Source organism: Homo sapiens, chromosome 7 (assembly GCF_000001405.40).
Source record: "Homo sapiens chromosome 7, GRCh38.p14 Primary Assembly".
Taxonomy (NCBI): domain Eukaryota; kingdom Metazoa; phylum Chordata; class Mammalia; order Primates; family Hominidae; genus Homo; species Homo sapiens.
In genome coordinates, this window is record NC_000007.14 from 100,031,675 (window position 1) to 100,049,675 (window position 18,001).

At 45.5% G+C, this 18,001-nt stretch overlaps 1 protein-coding gene across 8 annotated transcripts in view, besides 2 other annotated features; it reads left to right on the plus strand.

Moving 5' to 3' along the window:
* The window catches only part of ZKSCAN1 (zinc finger with KRAB and SCAN domains 1), a 29,779-nt gene extending 16,079 nt beyond the window's left edge, over positions 1–13,700 (plus strand). For 7 of the 8 annotated variants that reach the window (NR_144477.2, NM_001346581.2, NM_001287054.3 and 4 more), the window contains one exon: positions 1,631–10,015. Coding sequence is in view for 7 of the 8 variants with exons in the window: in NM_001346581.2 (NP_001333510.1) it covers positions 1,631–2,523 (893 nt within the window). In the remaining variant the exon portion in view is untranslated. Of the gene's footprint in view, positions 1–1,630; positions 10,016–13,109 lie in introns of those variants that run through there. The other variant, NM_001346579.2, reaches the window with a different exon arrangement.
* Positions 5,656–6,157: an enhancer, noted in NCBI's record as "H3K4me1 hESC enhancer chr7:99634953-99635454 (GRCh37/hg19 assembly coordinates)". NCBI's record gives its function as "activates a minimal SCP1, AML or CMV promoter by ChIP-STARR-seq in primed H9 embryonic stem cells {active_cell/tissue: H9 hESC(primed)}" and the evidence as "EXISTENCE:reporter gene assay evidence [ECO:0000049][PMID:30033119]".
* Positions 6,158–6,657: an enhancer, noted in NCBI's record as "H3K4me1 hESC enhancer chr7:99635455-99635954 (GRCh37/hg19 assembly coordinates)". NCBI's record gives its function as "activates a minimal SCP1, AML or CMV promoter by ChIP-STARR-seq in primed H9 embryonic stem cells {active_cell/tissue: H9 hESC(primed)}" and the evidence as "EXISTENCE:reporter gene assay evidence [ECO:0000049][PMID:30033119]".

Below are 18,001 nucleotides of genomic sequence, written 5' to 3' on the forward strand. Positions count from 1 at the left end.
TTCCACCTACTCCTCTGTTACTTGAGCACTGTCAGCTCTGTGTTCCTCTCCTTGTTGGATAGAAACTATTTCCTGTGTCTGAAGATTCCTGTAGCCTGCCAGGTTCAAAACAAGTTCCTTGACCAGGCACAATGGCTCACACCTGTAATCCCAACACTCGAGGAGGCTGTGGCAAGAGGATCGCTTGAAGCCAGGAGTTCAGGACCAGCATGGGCAATATAGCAAGACCACTGTCTCTACAAAAAAATTTAAAAATTAGCCAGGCGGGGTGGTGCAGGCCTATAGTCCCAGCTACTTGGGAGGCTGAGGCAGGAGGATCACTTGAGCCCAGGAGATCGAGGCTGCAGTGAGCTGTGCTCATGCCACTGTACTCCAGCCTGGCTGACAGAACAAGACCCTGTCTCAAAAACAAAAACAAAACAAAGTTTCTTGTTTGTTAATCATCAGCTTGTTGATAGAAAACTCACAGAATTGGAGAAATATTTACTATTCCTTTCTTTCTGCTAATACCACTAATCATTTTCTATGAAAGACCTGTTCTTTTTTTGAACTTATGAATAATGTTAGAAATGGAACATGATGTTTTAAATGTATACATAAACCTTCCAATTAATTATCAGGTGATCCAGTAGTAGACCTGTGACCTCTGAAGGCTCCTGCTTCTCATCCCTTCCCTTCTGCTGTGATTTGTTGTCTTCCCTCTGCTCATTCCCCTTGTGTCTGTTTCTTCCATCCTCTCCCCATGCTCCCTCTGTTGTCATTTCCCCTTACTCTCCACTCTTTGCCTGCGCTCTCATTTTCCAAATTTTTGTTGTTCCAAAACTAGGACAACAGATCTTCCTGTTGTCCCAGTTTTTCCCCTTGTTTTTCTCCTATTTTATGTCCAATTAATATTGTGAAGTCAGGCCGGGTGCAGTGGCTCATGCCTGTAATCCCATCACTTTGGGAGGCCAGGGCAGGTGGATCACCTGAGGTCAGGAGTTTGAGAGCAGTCTGGCCAACATGGTGAAACCCCGTGTCTACTAAAAAAATACAAAAGTTACCCGGGCGTAGGCCAGGCGTGGTGGCTCACGCCTGTAATCCCAGCACTTTGGGAGGCCGAGGCGGGTGGATCACGAGGTCAGGAGATCGAGACTATCCTGGCTAACATGGTGAAACCCCGTCTACACTAAAAATACAAAAAATTAGCCGGGCGTGGTGGCGGGCGCCTGTAGTCCCAGCTACTCAGGAGGCTGAGGCAGGAGAATGGCGTCAACCTGGGAGGCGGAGCTTGCAGTGAGCCGAGATCACGCCATTGCACTCCAGCCTGGGTAACAGAGCAAGACTCCATCTCAAAAAAAAAAAAAAGTTACCCGGGCGTGGTAGCATGCACCTATAGTCCCAGCTACTTGGGAGGCTGAGGCAGGAGAATCACTTGAACCTGGGAGGCGGAGGTTGCAGTGAACTGAGATCACGTCACTGCACTCCAGCCTGGGCGACAGAGCGAGACTCTGTCTCAAAGGAAATAAAAATAAAAATATTGCAAAGTCATTTTGCAGCCGTGTAGAAGCTTCTCGGGAAACTGTCGCTTGACCCACCTGTATATTCAAAAGAAAAAGGTGCGATTTGAATTTTCTATTTATTATGTCAGGTGGTGAAAACAGGAATGAGAACGAGGAGTCAACCTCAAAGGCTGAAACCTCGGAAGATTCAGCATCACGCGGGGAGACAACAGGAAGATCCCAGAAAGAGTTTGGAGAGAAACGTGACCAGGAGGGCAAAACAGGAGAAAGACAGCAGAAAAACCCTGAGGAGAAAACCAGGAAAGAGAAAAGAGATTCAGGGCCAGCTATAGGAAAGGACAAAAAAACCATCACAGGAGAGAGAGGTCCAAGGGAGAAGGGGAAAGGATTGGGAAGAAGCTTCAGTCTGAGCTCCAACTTCACCACCCCTGAAGAAGTTCCCACGGGAACAAAGTCTCACAGATGTGATGAATGTGGTAAATGCTTCACGAGAAGTTCAAGCCTTATCCGCCATAAAATAATCCACACTGGAGAAAAGCCCTATGAATGTAGTGAGTGTGGGAAAGCCTTCAGTCTTAACTCCAACCTTGTCCTGCATCAGAGGATCCACACAGGAGAGAAACCTCATGAATGTAACGAGTGTGGCAAGGCCTTCAGCCACAGTTCCAATCTCATCCTCCATCAGCGCATCCACTCTGGAGAGAAACCTTATGAATGTAATGAGTGCGGGAAGGCCTTCAGCCAGAGCTCGGACCTCACCAAGCATCAGAGAATTCACACGGGGGAGAAACCCTATGAATGTAGTGAATGTGGAAAAGCTTTCAACCGAAACTCATACCTGATTTTGCATCGGAGAATTCACACTCGAGAAAAGCCCTACAAGTGCACTAAGTGTGGCAAGGCCTTCACCCGCAGCTCCACCCTCACTCTGCATCACAGAATCCATGCCAGAGAGAGAGCCTCTGAGTACAGCCCAGCCTCCCTTGATGCATTTGGCGCGTTCCTGAAAAGTTGTGTGTAAAGGAAGAATTTGCCATCAAGCCATTTCCCCCTTTTGTTTCTAAAATTATTTCAGAGATGTGTGCTCCTGGAGGGAAAAAGAAATACAGCCTCAACAGATTAAAAAACAAAAGTCACACTTAAGGATCCTTCTAGTCACATCAGCAGTGTTCTGCCTTTATGTAGTAGTTGGGCATATAATCCTTCCACACAGCCCCTGCAGGGAAAGGCTAATCTTACGGATAATCCACGTGAGATTTCCACACAAGAGAAAAGCACACGCATAGTGAAATGTCAGTCTTTTCAGTAATGAGGATACCTTTAAGGCACTCTTGGACTCTCGGCAACCACAACATAATAGTTGAAAGATCAAGATTGGCTCCACGAAAGTGATACGGAGGTTAGGATGCTACTTGCTGCAAACAAGCCCTACTTTGGCCAACATCCTGCTTATTTCTCAAAAAAGAGGGACAGTGAAAACAAAAACGACATTGGGACATGCTGCTCAAGGTAGTTATATATACGATAAGTTGTATATATGATCACTGGTAGCCTACCAAAGCTGTAGAAATCTAGGACTGTGCTAATCAGTATCAAACCAAAGATTTCTATCTCTTCCCGAAAGAGAGGGTATGTGCACCAGTCTACAGTTCCAAAGGACTGCAACAAATGTAGATGGTTCTGTCCTCATCCCTGAGATCAGTTCTACTGAAATGGCAACAACAACTCCAAATACATCTCTCCCTTCTTGAAATCCCTAAAGCACTATCGCACTCCTAAATGCATTTCTCCACAAGTTAGCACTTGATTGTATACTGTCTTTTAATCCTTCATTGTTTCATGTATGAAGTTTTTAATCACCCCCTAACCCCCAAAAAAGATTCGGTTGTCAAGGGATATATTTCTATCCCTGCCAGCACAGTGCTGGACATAGTGAGTACTGAACACCTAAGAGGCACTCATTCAGACTGACTTCTACAGGACTTCTACGTGTGTGATAAAAGCCTGTGAATCGTGAGTCCCTGAAATATGGTAGCCTGGCCCAGCTTCTAAAGAGGACCTTCGTAGCCACAAGGCATGCTAAACCTCTAGGGTCTGATGCTGTTTTTGTTCCAAATATAAACGAAAGGCACTAGTCAGCCGCCTGCATAGACTTTCTAAACAGTGAGTAAATACCATGGAATGTCAGAAATGACTTTATCATCGTCATCTTGAAGAAAAATATGAACACTGATGAAGGTCATTTTTTTTTTTTGACATCTTTCTGTGGCAAAGCTCTTAGAATTCTTTGCAGTTAGCTGCTGAACAGTATGATGATTTGGGGATTTTCTGAATCATTTGTACTTAGATACTGGAGTTCAGAAGATGTGATTTTTGTTGCTTTTCAGAAAAAGGAACGTGGTAGGGAGTGTTTTTTCCCACGCTTTTCCAGTAACTTTGCAAAAGCATTAATTGTTCACTGGCAATTACTAAATGTATTTTGTTGCTCTGAGAAACTCAGCAGTGTACTGAGATGTGGCTGGCTGTGCCATCGTCATAGTGCACAGTGACTTTTCTGTTTCTTATCACTAAAGACTGAGGTGAGGTTATGAAACTTTCATTGGTCCCATCGTTGTGCGCAGGGTGCAACTGGCTACCTAGAAGCTGATGGCAGGAGACTGTTTCACACACAGGAGATTGTGAGCTGTGTAAGTAGTCATCGCCACTCAAGTAGGACAAGGGTCCTACCCAAGGCTAGGACCGCCCTGCGGAAACAGAAACATAGACTGAGAACAAACCTCAAGACTATCAGTGTGACCTCCCCATAACAAGAGAACCCCATATATAGTTTGAGACTTTCCCTTGAGAAACTTATACTAAAACTATTACTCATCAGTCATTCACTGATCAGCAGCTAAAGTCCATGAGACCAAATGGTTTTATATGGAACCAACGAAGTGGGAGCTAAAACTGCACAGTGGTCATTCTTTGGCCTCTCCTTGGCTTTATGACTTAAACCAACTACAACTTCCCTATAGCTTCTAAGCAGTTTCATCAGCATTACTTGGGAAAACGTGTTGCAAGTCAACCAGTCACTAGGATATTTCTACCCATGCAACGGAAGAAAAACCCATTACTCCAGAAGAGTATATCTAAGTAACTAAAATGGAGGCAGAAAATGTTTTAAGGATTTTCTTCAAAGAATAAGCCACAGCAATGGTTTTGTAGAAAACTCCTGTGCTTTTGAGCAAGGACTTTTGCCCTCTAGAAAGCAACTGAGGCCAGGTGCGGTGGCTCACGCCTGTAATCCCAGCACTTTGGGAGGCCGAGGTGAGCGGATCACCTGAGGTCAGGAGTTTTGAGACCAGCCTGGCCAACATGGTAAAATCCCGTCTCTACTAAAATTATAAAAATTAGCCGGGCATGATGGTGGGCACCTGTAATCCCAGCTACTTGGGAGGCTGAGGCAGGAGAATCACTTGAACCCAGGAGGCAGAGGTTGCAGTGAGCCAAGATTGCACACTGCACTCCAGCCTGGGTGACTAGCAAAACTCCATCTCAAAAAAAAAAAAAAGAAAGAAAGAAACTGAAAAGTGAGGTGTGGAACTCCAGGCAACGACCCAAGCACTTATTTTTTAAGAGGGAAAGGACTTTGGTCATGTTTACATTGGCCTTTGGTTTTTTTTTTTCTTTCAGCCACAACTATATGCTGATATAACTCAGCCATCACTTTTGAGTTTTGTTTTTAAATGAAGGTTAAATGTGACCTGTGCCCTCACATTTAATTCCGTTTCATGGAGACATCTTCCTGACTTTGTTGGATAGCTGCCACTAGGGTTGCTTCGATCTTCAGCCACATGCTGTCCTTGAAGCAGCTATTTGAAGATGTGTTTTCTGAGGAAAACAGGCTACAACTGTTTATTAAAACCACTTGCAGTGCATTCGTTTATCAGATGCTCAGTGCAAAGTGTAATTGGGTCATGGTCAAAAACGCTTGCAACATCTAATTGGCGTTCAAGATAGTCATTCAAAAGTTCTTGGCCCGCTGAAGTCTGTTAACAGTTGAAACATTCTACAGTTAACCATTAGCATGCTAGTTGTCCTAATGGAAATTTTTGAAGAGTTTTTCAATATATACCCTACCCTTGCCAGGAAGAGAAGTAAAATCCTCAGGTTGTGGGGTATTTGTTTCTACTCCAGCCTGGCAGGCAAGGCTAAAACCTGAGATTATCGATCTATGAGACATCTTGATATGTAAAGCACTTAATATTAAAGGCATAAAAGTGAAACTGCTAAATATGTATAGAGAGGTTGACGTGTGATACGTGGGACAGTTCACATAGACATCAGAGAATTTATTCCAGAAAGGAGCCTCCTGAATGTGATGAATACGGCAAAGCCTTTAATCACATCTCAGCCCTTAGCATCGGAAAGCTTATACTGTAAATAAACTTGATGAATATTATATGTGAGGAAAACTTTCATGTATAGCACTCATTGCTTCAGACAGAAAATGAATTCCGTCGGTATGTTCCAATCGTGATGAATTTGAGAAACATTGCAAGAGGGAGCTCAATCTTGGCCGGGCGCCGTGGCTCACGCCTGTAATCGCAGCACTTTGGGAGGCCGAGGCAGGCGGATCACGAGGTCAGTAGTTCGAGACCAGCCTGGCCAACATGGTGAAACCTTGTCTCTACTAAAAATACAAAAAAAAATTAGCTGGGCACAGTGGCGCACGCCTGTAGTCCCAGCTACTCGGGAGGCTGAGGCAGGAGAATGGCTTGAACCTGCGAGGCGGAGGTTGCAGTGAGCTAAGATCATGCCACTGGCACTCCAGCCTTGAGTGACAGAGCGAGGCTCTGTATCAAAAAAAAAAGTTGCGGGGGGGTGCTCAATCTTAACTGCAGAGGATCTACAGATGAAAAAAAATGTGGGGAAATGCTTTAAAAAAATAGCAAAATGTGCAACTTCTTACAAAAATTGTTAACGTTAGGTACTTCTATATATTTTATATGACCATAATGTCCGTGTGTGTTTTGTACCTTCAGTCCCTTGTTATTGTTCCGTATATTACCTGTAAGCAGATACTGTATTTTATTTTAGCCTATTTGACAGAACACATCACTCAGAAAAAGTGAAGTTTCAGAGCAAACAGTGAAGAAATCAGTGTGATTGTAGACAAAAAGTCGGTTCACAGAACGGAGCAGCGGGGAGAGGAAGGGAAAAGCTTCATAGTTTGGTGCTTATCACATCAAGAGATTGGTAAATTTCTGAGGAAAGACAGGCTAATGGGGCACTGAAATGGAACAACTCCTTTAAACGTGCAGCCTTTTGAATTTTTCCTCAAAACCAAGAAGTTGACCTCTGAGCTGTCAGGTGACCACTGTGTGCAAAGGGGATGGATTCTCTTGTCAGTAGACGGTCTTCTCCATGAAGCGAGAGTAGGAAGTGTACTGGAATGGCCAAGTGGGACTGCTTCAGCTGACCAGGTTCTTTTAAACCGTAGTCATGCTTTCCCACTAACTCTTAAATCCTTATGCTTAGAAAATTGAGGATAAGGCTGGGCACAGTGGCTCAGGCCTGTAATCCCAGCACTTTGGGAGACCAAGGCGGGTGGATCACAAGGTCAGGAGATCGAGACCATCCTGGCTAACATGGCGAAACCCCGTCTCTACTAAAAATACAAAAAAATAGCTGGGCGTGGTGGCGGGCGCCTGTAGTCCCAGCTACTCAGGAGGCTGAGGCAGGAGGATCACTTGAACATGGGAGGCGGAGGTTGCAGTGAGCCAAGATGGCGCCACTGCACTCCAGCCTGGGTGATGGCGTGAGACTCCATGTCAAAAAAAAAAAAAAGGTTGGGGGGAGGATAGGACTGGCCAGGCACGGTGGCTCACTCCTGTAATCTCAGCACTTTGGGAGGCAGAGGTGGGCGGATCACTTGAGGTCAGGAGTTTGAGACCAGCCTGGCCAACGTGGTGAAAGCCTGTCTCTACTAAAAATACAAAAATTAGCCGGGCGTGGTGGTGGGCGCCTGTAGTCCCAGCTACTCAGGAGGCTGAGGCAGGAGAATCACCTAAATCTGGGAGGCAGAGGTTGCAGTGAGCCGAGATTGCACCACTGCACTCCAGCCTGGGTAACAGAGACTCTGTCTCAAAAAAAGAAAAAAAAAAAAGAAAGAAAGAAAGAAAATTGGGGATAGGAGAACAGCAAGGTGGGCATTTCCCGGAATTGTGTGCAGATGCATCCAGTCGTGGCATTGCAAGAAGTCTGTCTGATGAAGCTCGGGAAGCATTTTGCAATATTCCCTTTGGCTGTGTTCCTGTGTTCCCTGCTCCCACTTTTCTTCCCCTGGTTTGTGATTATTAGGAGAGAGGTTTTGCAAAGACTCGTTGCTGTGAAAGAATCTTTTTTTAATTTTTATCCTAGAGTCAGTCACTTTTATTCCAGGTAGTCATGCTGATCTGCTTATCCAAAGCCAGCTAACCAGGTTCATCCTACCATCCTCATGGAAGACTGTGTGTATGAATTGGAGTAACAGAACTGAAATACACTTAAACAGTGACAGCAGTACTTCCCAGGGTGGGGGCCATATTTCTCTGTGTCCTACTCTGAGCAACTTCTCAGAGATACGAGGGGGCTAGGGTTTTCCCATCTGGGAAATGGGGTGAAAGTCTGCAGATTGTTAAATGAAATATAGAATCAGAGAAAAAGAAAAGTCAGTGATATAAATAGATCATTTCATAGAAATTAGGGTAGATTTTTATTTCAACTACTACTGGAGAATTTAATAAAAGGCATTATTTGAAAAGTTTTTCTAACATAGATTTAGGGTTTTTTTTTTTAGAGTGGACACACTACATTTAAAAGCAATTATTTTGCTATTCAGATTTTTTATTATCTGAAAATGAAATTATCTGTTTTACTTTTCAAAGCTTTGTGAAACAAACTTGAAGTTATAGGGAGGTAAGCCATCTCCAACTCTGCAGGTCAAACGAAAGTTTGGGAAATACTTTTGACATCCCACAATACAGAATGTCTTAACATGAGAATTGAATTTCATGATGTGTGGTTCCATTTAATAGCGGACACCACCCCAATCTCATGTTTTCCTGTTACCCTAAAACAGTGGAAGGAAACTGGGTGTTTGGTAGACTTCTAAATCATGGTCTCTGACAATTTGAATCTGAGATTCTCACCTCCATTTACTAAAGAATCGTGACTTAATTCAAATTGCACAGTAATCAGTAAAGTGAATACGTTTTTAAAATGGAATTTTCTCCCTTCAGCAAGCACTCATTAAGGAGTGAGGCTGAGTATTTTAAGATAGAGTGAGATCTGTGAGTGATTGAAAGGTGATATTTAAAAACTTGGATTTCATTCCAGTGTCAGGTTTGGGTTTTAAGTTCCTTTGGTCCAGGGAAGGGTCCAAGCAGCCACAGTTGCCCTAAATCTCCATCATTAAGTCTTCCAGCAAGGTTAAGTGCAGTATGGAAGGAGAAGGGGGAAGAGGACGGTAACGGCCCCACACTCCAGGCTGAGAAAGAGTAATTAGGAGGCCTGAGGAGGGGCCGAGGAAAGGCTGTTGGGGTGTGCTGGGGTTGGTACCCGAGCGCCTTCCCCTCACCTCAACCAGAGAAGAGCATCCGGTTGCTTTTTAAAGCTTTTAGCCTGCCCTAGCAAGGACAAAGCATGTTAGATTAGAGATGCTTCTGCTGATCGCAGGGGTTCTTATTTGAAAACATCTATGATGGGGGTGGGGTGGGAGGAGACAGGTTGTGGTTATGCAGGAAAATCTTGTCCTAAAAATATATGAGTTTGGGGGTAAGGGGTGGGATAGCCAAGCAAAATCAGTAATTATTTTAAAATGAACATATGTATTTTTATTAACTTTTAGTTAAATACAGATTTTACAACGAGGTCAGCATAAGCCTAAATCTATATAGAGGGCTAACTCAGGCATTGTCTTGTTTATTTGTAGACTGGATTAAAAACAACCTGTCCTGTTTTGTCAGTTCCCAGCTTCTTCGTTTAGAATAAATTAGACCAAAAGAAGAAACGTGCTTGTCTCTGTATACCCGCAGAATGAAGTTACTGTTGTTAAAACTGGATTTTTTCATTTTACTAGGTTCCGAAGAGTCCAGATGCTTGGTAGATGTTCAATACGTGATTTTTTTTTTAATTGAATGTGTTCATTTAAAATCCTCCTTAACATTTCTAGAAAGACTTCTTTCAATAAATAATGGAATCTTAGAGGAAAAGTGGTTTTTTAAAAGCTAGGGAACTCCTCCACTAAAAGTAACCATTGGAAACCTCGAATGAGGGCTAAAGTTTTAATCATAAGAGAAAAGGCAGCATAATGAAATGTGTACACATACATAGTCAGTGGTCCATTTTAGGAAGCCAGTGGCGTCTGATAAAGAAATGTTAAGAGTAGTGAGGTTGAGGAAGGAAATTGTGGGGATTTGAAATATTCTCTTTATGTTGTTTCTCTTCTGAGTCATGGTAAAACAATAAATTATCATCTCTAGGTGGCAGTGCTTGTGCTGGTTTGTTTTTTGTTCTTTGTTTTTCTCATCCTTGGTTGCATAAATACACATTGGGGGTGAAGAAAAAAAAGTATTCCAAAGTTAAAAGACTGGAGCTGCAACCCACAAACAAAATTCTCATGCAAAACTATCTGTTTACTTTGCAAACCAAAATTAAATTTCAAAGGCCACCCAGTCACCTGAATGGACCTCTCCTCTCAGCCAAGGGCATTCCAAAGTTAACCTGAAAAACTAGTTCAGGCCATGATGGGAAGGGGGAGCCAAACATGCCTCATTATACCCTCTCCCCATATGGAATTACTGATAACAACAGACTCTTTAAGACTGATAGACATGGCCAGCCATGGTGGCTTATGCCTGTAATCCCTGCAGTTTGGGAGGCCGAGGCAGGCAGATCACCTGAGGCCAGGAGTTCGAAACCAGCCTGGCCAACATGGTGAAACCCCCTCTCTACTAAAAATACAAAAATTAACCAGGCGTGGTGGCGGGCGCCTGTAGTCCCAGCTACTCGGGAGGCTGAGCCAGGAGAATCACTTGAACCCAGGAGGGGGAGGTTGCAGTGAGCCGAGATCGCACCACTGCACTCCAGCTTGGGCAACAGAGTGAGACTTTGTCTCAAAAAAAAAAAAAAAAAAAAGGTGAACTGGGAGGATGTGAGGTTGTGTCCAGGAGGCATCCAAACACATCTCTGACTGTTTTTACTCACACTTCTGACACAATGTGGGATTTTTTTTCATACACCAACCAATTCTCTGGACACCAACTGGGTGCCATACGATTCAATTCAATTCTGACACTACCTGTAACTGATGCAGACTCCACAGGTTGTGGGCTCAGTCCCTCAAGACTGCCCCCATTTCAGACGCCAGTCTTACATTCCGGGTTTTCACCTGTGCTTTGGACCGGCTATAAATCAAGGGCTTCCACAATCTTCTCCTCAGTCTCAGGTTTGATAATTTGCTGGGATGGCTCATAGGTCTCATATATATTTTTATTATATATACACATGTGTATGTGTATATGTGTATAGATACACGTGTGTGTGTGTGTGTGTGTGTGTATACGAATACACCACCACACCCAGGTAATTTTTGGGTTTTTTTTTTTTTTTTTTTAGACGGAGTCTCGCTCTGTCTCCCAGGCTGGCGTGCAGTGGCGCCATCTCGGCTCACTGCAAGCTCCGCCTCCCGGGTTCCCGCCATTCTCTTGCCTCAGCCTCCCGAGTAGCTGGGACTACAGGCGCCCGCCACTGTGCCCGGCTAACTTTTTTTGTATGTTTTAGTAGAGACGGGGTTTCATAGTGTTAGCCAGGATGGTCTCGATCTCCTGACCTCATGATCTGCCTGCCTAGGCCTCCCAAAGTGCTGGGATTACAGGCGTGAGCCACCGCACCTGGCCTTTTTTGGGTATTTTTTGTAGTGACAGTCTGGCTATTTCCCAAGCTGGTCTTGAACTCTTGGGCTCAAGTGATCTGCCTGCCTTGGCCTCACAGGTGTGAGCCACCACACCCAGCCCTATTTTTTCTTAATAATTATTTTTTCTTTTATAGAGATGGGGGTCCCCCTATGTTGCCCAGGCTGGTCTCGAACTCCTGTCCTCAAGCAATCCTCCCACCTTGGCCTCCCAAAGTGCTGGGATTACAGGCGTGAGCCACTGTGCCCGACCCAGAACTGGATTTTATTTTTCTTTATTTTTGTAAGACAAGTCTCGTTCTGTTGCTCAGGCTGGAGTGCAGTGGCACGATTGTGGCTCACTGCAACCTCAACCTCCTGGACTCAAGCAATCCTCCTATTTCAGCCTCAGCTGGGACTACAGGCATGCATCACTACGCCTAGATTTTTTTTTAATTTTTTGCAGAGACAGGGTCTTGCTATGTTGCCCAGGCTGGTCTCAAATTCCTGGGCCTCAAGCAATCCTCCCACCTCAGCTTCCCGAAGTGCTGGGATTATATTCATGAGCCACCATGCAAGGGCCTAAAATCCAGTTTTAGCAAGAACCCTGCTAAGTTTAGCAAAAACCTCCCACCCTCCATATCTACTTAGGCTTTTTTCTTTTTCTTTTCTTTCTTGATTTTTTTTTTTTTTTTTTTTTTTTTTTTGGAGACAGAATCTCTCTCTGTTGCCCAAGCTGGAGGGCATGATCTCAGCTCACTGCAACCTCCACCCCCTGGGTTCAAGTGATTCTCCTGACTCAGCCTCCCGAGTAGCTGGGACTACAGGTGCACACCACTACACCCAGCTAATTTTTGTATTTTTTTTAGAGACGGGGTTTCGCCATGTTGGCCAGGCTGGTCTCGAACTCCTGACTTCAAGTGATCCACCTGCCTCAGCCTCCCAGGGTGCTGGGATGACAGGCGTGAGCCACCGCTCCCAGCCCATATCTAATTACTCTTGATATTTATCTGGTCAGGTTCCTTGTCCTCCACCATCCCCCAGGCGATGTCTGATCAGCCTGGCCTGTGTTCAGCAAGAATACCCCTTCCCTCTGATGTTTCCTCTTGATCATTTTCCATACACTGACCCCCATCCTGCTCCTTGGCTATAAATTGCCACTTGCCCATGCTGTGTTCAGAGCTGAGCCCAATCTCTCTCCCCTCACTGCAAGACCCCACTGCAGTGGTTCCTGTATTTATTAGGATGGTCCTGAATAAAGTCTTCCTTACCATGCTTTAACAAGTAGCACTGAGCCGGGCATGGTGGCTCACGCCTGTAATCCCAGCACTTTGGGAGGCTGAGGCAGGCGGATCACGAGGTCGGGAGATCGAGACCATCCTGGCTAACACGGTGAAACTCCGTCTCTACTAAAAAAAATACAAAAAAATAAAATAAAATTAGCCAGGCGTGGTGGCGGGTGCCTGTAGTCCCAGCTGCTCGGGAGGCTGAGGCAGGAGAATGGCGTGAACCCGGGAGGTGGAGCTTGCAATGAGCTGAGATCGTGCCACTGCACTCCAGCCTGGGTGATGGCGTGAGACTCTATCTCAAAAAAAAAAAAAAAAAAAAAAAAAGTAGCACTGAATAATTTTTTTCATGAAGTTTAACTCCACCATTCCACTTTCATTCTCTTTTCCTTTCAATTTCTTTAGCAAATGTCTTTGCAGCTTTCCAACATGCTGCACATGTCTTCTGCTTCCTGGAAGAAAAAGGACATGTTCGGAGTTGTCATGCGCCAGAGGCTTGCCCAGCCTGCTCTAAGGGAAGTCACGGTTTGGTTACCCTCTGCTGGCCAGCTGATGGCAGCAAAAATAGGTGATGATGAGAACGAGCGAGGAAGATCCAGAAATGCACCTTTTTAGAGAGAACCATGAACACCTTACTGGAAATGGAAGGAAGGTGCCAGAGACAACACTAAATGCTGGAATCTTTTCCTCTCCTGGGTTTCCGCTGCAAAGGGCACTGGAATTATTTTTCTTTTGTCAAGCCAATAATCTCCCAGGCATGGTGGTGTGCATCTGATCCCGCTACTTGGGAGGCTGAGGCAGGAGGATTGCTTGAGCACAGGAATTCTCGACCAGCCTGGGCAACATGGCGAAACCCCTACGAAACATTTTTTCAAAAAATAGGTGCGGTGCGGGTGCGGTGGCTCACGCCTGTAATCCCAGCACTTTAGGAGGCCGAGGTGGGCAGATCCTGAGGTCAGGAGATCCAGACCATCCTGCCCAACATGGTGAAACCCCATCTCTACTAAAAATACAAAAAGCTAGGTGTGATTGCGCATGCCTGCAATCCCAGCAACTTGGGAGGCTGAGGCAGGAGAATTGCTTCAACCAGGGAGTTGGAGGTTGCAGTGAGCCGAGATGGCGCCACTGCACTCCAGCCTGGCGACAGAGCAAGACTCAGTCTCACCAAAAAAAAAAAAAAAAAAAAAATTGTCCAGCATGGTGGCGTGCATGGGAATTATTTTTCTTTTGTGGTCCCAGCTACTCGGGAGGCTGAGGCAGCAGGATTGCTTGAGCCCAGGAGTTCTCTACCAGCCTGGGCAACATGGTAAAACCCCTAGAAATAATTTTTTAGGGGCTGGGCGCAGTGGCTCACGCCTGTAATCCCAGCACTTTGGGAGGCCGAGGCGGGTGGATCACGAGGTCAGGAGATCGAGATCATCCTGGCTAACACGGTGAAACCCCGTCTCTACTAAAAATACAAAAAATTAGCCGGGCATGGTGGCGGGTGCCTGTAGTCCCAGCTACCCGGGAGGCTGAGGCAGGAGAATGGTGTGAACCTGGGAGGCGGAGCTTGCAGTGAGCCGAGATCACGCCACTGCACTCCAGCCTGGGCGACAGAGCGAGACTCCGTCTCAAAAAAAAAAAAAAAAGAAATAATTTTTTAGAAAAATAGCCAGGCATGGTAGCATGTGCCTACTCGGGAGGCTGAGGTGGGAGGATCACTTGAGTCCAGGAGTTGGAGGCTGCAGTGAGCTATGATCACACCACTGCACTCCAGCCTGGGCAACAGAGTGAGGCCCTACCGCAAATAAATAAATAAAAATAAAAAATCTCTTGAGACACAGCAAGCACACAGGATTGGAGAATCTGGCTTGTGCTCTCAGCTTTGATACTAATTAGCTAACTAGTGTACCTTGGATCCGACTTCTTCAGGCACTGGTTTCTTCAACTGAAAACAAGAAACAAGAGTTTAACCAGATTGTCCTTAAGGTCTCTTTTGACGTTAATATTTTACAGCAGCTCTAAGCCCCTTTGCTTGAGGAGCATCTCAGCCCTGGAAAGGACAATGGGTTTGGAAATAGATGGATTTTCTTCAAGCCCCAGCATAACCACTTAATGGTTTCATAACTAGACAAAGACCCGTTGACCAAGAGGCTGAATGGAGCCCCACCAAAGCATCGACACAGGTGTGGCTCTTGAAATGTGTGTAGGTTTCCCGGTTCTTCCCTCTGTCCTGGTGATCCTGTTTCCATTTCCCATCTCTTTCTTCCCCGTCTAACTGAGAGGCAGTAGAGCACAGGCTTTGGAGAAAGGGGGCCAAGTTTCACTCCTGATGCTCCCACGTATCAGTTGTGTGATATTGGAAAAGTGACTTTTTGGAGCCTGTTTCCTGGTCTATAAAATGGAGATTTTGGGGCCAGGCACAGTGGCTCACGGTGGCTCCCAGCACTTTGGGAGGCTGAGGCAGGTGGATCACTTGAGGTCACGAGTTCAAGACCATGGGGGAATGAATTAAAAGGACTAACCATGTAACAATTGTTAAAGCTGGCCAATGTATATGGAGGCTTTTTTTTTTTTTTTGGTGAGACAGAGTCTCACTCTGTCACCAGGCTGTAGTGCAGGGGTGCAATCTCAGCTCACTGCAATGTCTGCCTCCTGGGTTCAAGCAATTGTCCTTCCTCAGCCACCCGAGTAGCTGGGATTACAGGCATGTGCCACCACACCCAGCTAATTTTTGTATTTTTAATAGAGACAGAGTTTCACCATGTTGGCCAGGATGGTCTCGATCTCTTGACCTTGTGATCCGCCTGCCTCAGCCTCCTAAAGTGCTGGGATTACAGGCGTGAGCCACCGTGCCCTGCCAAGGCTCATTTTTTTTTTTTTTTAAGAGAAAGCAAGTTTATTAGAGAAGTAAAGAAACAGCCGGGCACGGTGGCTCACACCTGTAATCCCAGCACTTTGGGAGGGCGAGGCGGGCAGATCATGAGGTCAGGAGATCAAGACCATCCTGGCCAACATGGTGAAACCCTGTCTCTACTAAAATACAAAAAAAAATAAAAAATTACCCGAGCGTGGTGGTGCGCGCCTGTAGTCCCAGCTACTCGGGAGGCTGAGGCAGAGGAATCGCTTGAACCTAGGAGGCGGAGGTTGCAGTGAGCCTAGATTGCACCACTGCACTCCAGCCTGGCGACAGAGTAAGACTCCATCTCAAAAAAAAAAAAGAAAGAAACAAAAGAATGCACATGGAGGCTCATTTTCTCTAATTTTGCATGTCTTTAAACATAAAAAATTTTTAAATTATCCTGGAAAATGTCAGGGAAAAATGATATTGAGTATCTATGAATTCATGACGCGTATGGACAGGGAATTCCACGTGCAGGCAGCCATATTGGTGTTCCTCAACACATGTGAGTTTTGCAGGACCAGACAAAAGCAAACTCACAGGGGGCCCGATGGAGTAGTGCTGAGGTGGAAAATACAGACTCTTCAGTCTGGAAACCTGCAGCTGAGCCAGAGCAGCAGGAGGAAAAGGCAGGCAAAGACATCTTCATCGAGTCCTGCAGCATTGGAAGGAGTTCAGCCCCTAGGTCTTCTGCTCAGGAAGTTTAGGACCCACAGAAGGGCAAGGCTACTTCTGATTGATGTCACCATGACCCTGGTCTGCAAAGTTGAGGACTAAACTCTGACTGTTTTCTTCTTTTGCCCAAATTACTATCTAAGGGGCCTGGAGAGTCACCCCCTTCAAACCATAAAGCCTCATCAGACAGGTTTTATTTAACTTTATATAACCTGGCTGACTTTTCAACCAGGCTCTGGCATAACATCACATGGCAGATAAAGAAGGAAACGAAAATATTTCCACCCCAAATATGTTTTTTTGCCATATCTTGAAATAACCCTACCAAGCTGTCTTCTCGTGGGGAAAATCTACACTTGGTAGAGAATCCCCTTCCCTTTCCAGGCCTTTTTCCTGATCCAGGAGAGAATCAACTGGGCGTCTGGCACTTTTTAAAGTCTGATAAGAAATATTTGCAGTCTGTTCTTTCTGAAGCCGGCTGCCTGGAGGCTCCATCTGCATAATGGGAACCCTGGTCTCCACAACCCCTTAGTTCAGCGGTCCCCAACCTTTTTTGGCACCAGGAACCAGTTTTGTGGAAGACAGTTTTTTCCATGGATGGCAGGAGGGGGATGGATGGTTTCGTGGTTTCAGGATGATTCAAGCACATTACATTTATTGTGTACTTTATTTCTATTATTATTACATTGTAATATATCATGAAATAATTGTACAACTCATCATAACATAGAATTAGTGGGAGCCCTGAGTTTGTTTTCCTGTAATTAGAGGGTTCCATTGGGGAATTATGGGAGACAGCGACAGATCATCAGGTATTAGATTCTCATAAAGAGTGCACAACCTAGATCCCTCGCATGCACTGTCCACAATAGGGTTTGTGCTCCTGTAAGAATCTAATGCTATGGCTGATCTGACAGGAGGCGGAGCTCAGGCAGTAATTAGAGCAATGGGGAGTGGCTGTAGATACAGGTGAAGCTTTGCTCCTGCAGCTCACCTCCTGCAGTAACGGCCCAGTTCCTAACAGGCCATGGACTGGTATCTGTCTGTGCCCCAAGGGTTGGGGACCCCTGCCTTAGTCATCCCAGACATTCCTTTCTATTGATTATAGGTCTTTAGACAATAACTTTCAGCCAGTTGCCCATTAGAAGATCCTTGAGTTCACCTATGACTTGGAACATCCCCGCTTGGAATTGTCCTGCCTTTCCCACAGAACCAATGTTCATCTTACATGTCTTGATTGGTGTCTTATGTCTCCCTAAATTGTATAAACCCAAGCTGTAGCCCGACCATCATAGGTACATGTTCTTAGGACCTCTTGAGACTGTACCTTGGGCCATTGGTCACTCATATTTGTCTCAAAATAAATGTCTTCAAATATTTTACAGTTTGATTGTTTTCATCAACGAAGTATTAACTCAATCTCTGGCTTCACGGGCCAAGCACAGCGTTCCATGTCCATAAACCTGGACCGAGGAGCTGGGCCCAAGGGTATCCAGTGACCTCGATCCAGGTTTATGGACAAGGAACCCTGTGCTTATCCCAAGGGTACTCAGGGACCTTGGGCTCTGAAGTCCACGAGGGTGACCGAGGTGGCTGCCTCAGCCCATGCCCTCCCTGCCCCAGGGCGTCGGGGTTGGGTGAGAGAACCGCCGCAGCCTTCATCTGGTCTGACCGTCTTCGGTAAAAACAGAAAGAGTCCCTGGCTTTTCATTTTCGGGGTGGACTCAACTCCTCCCTG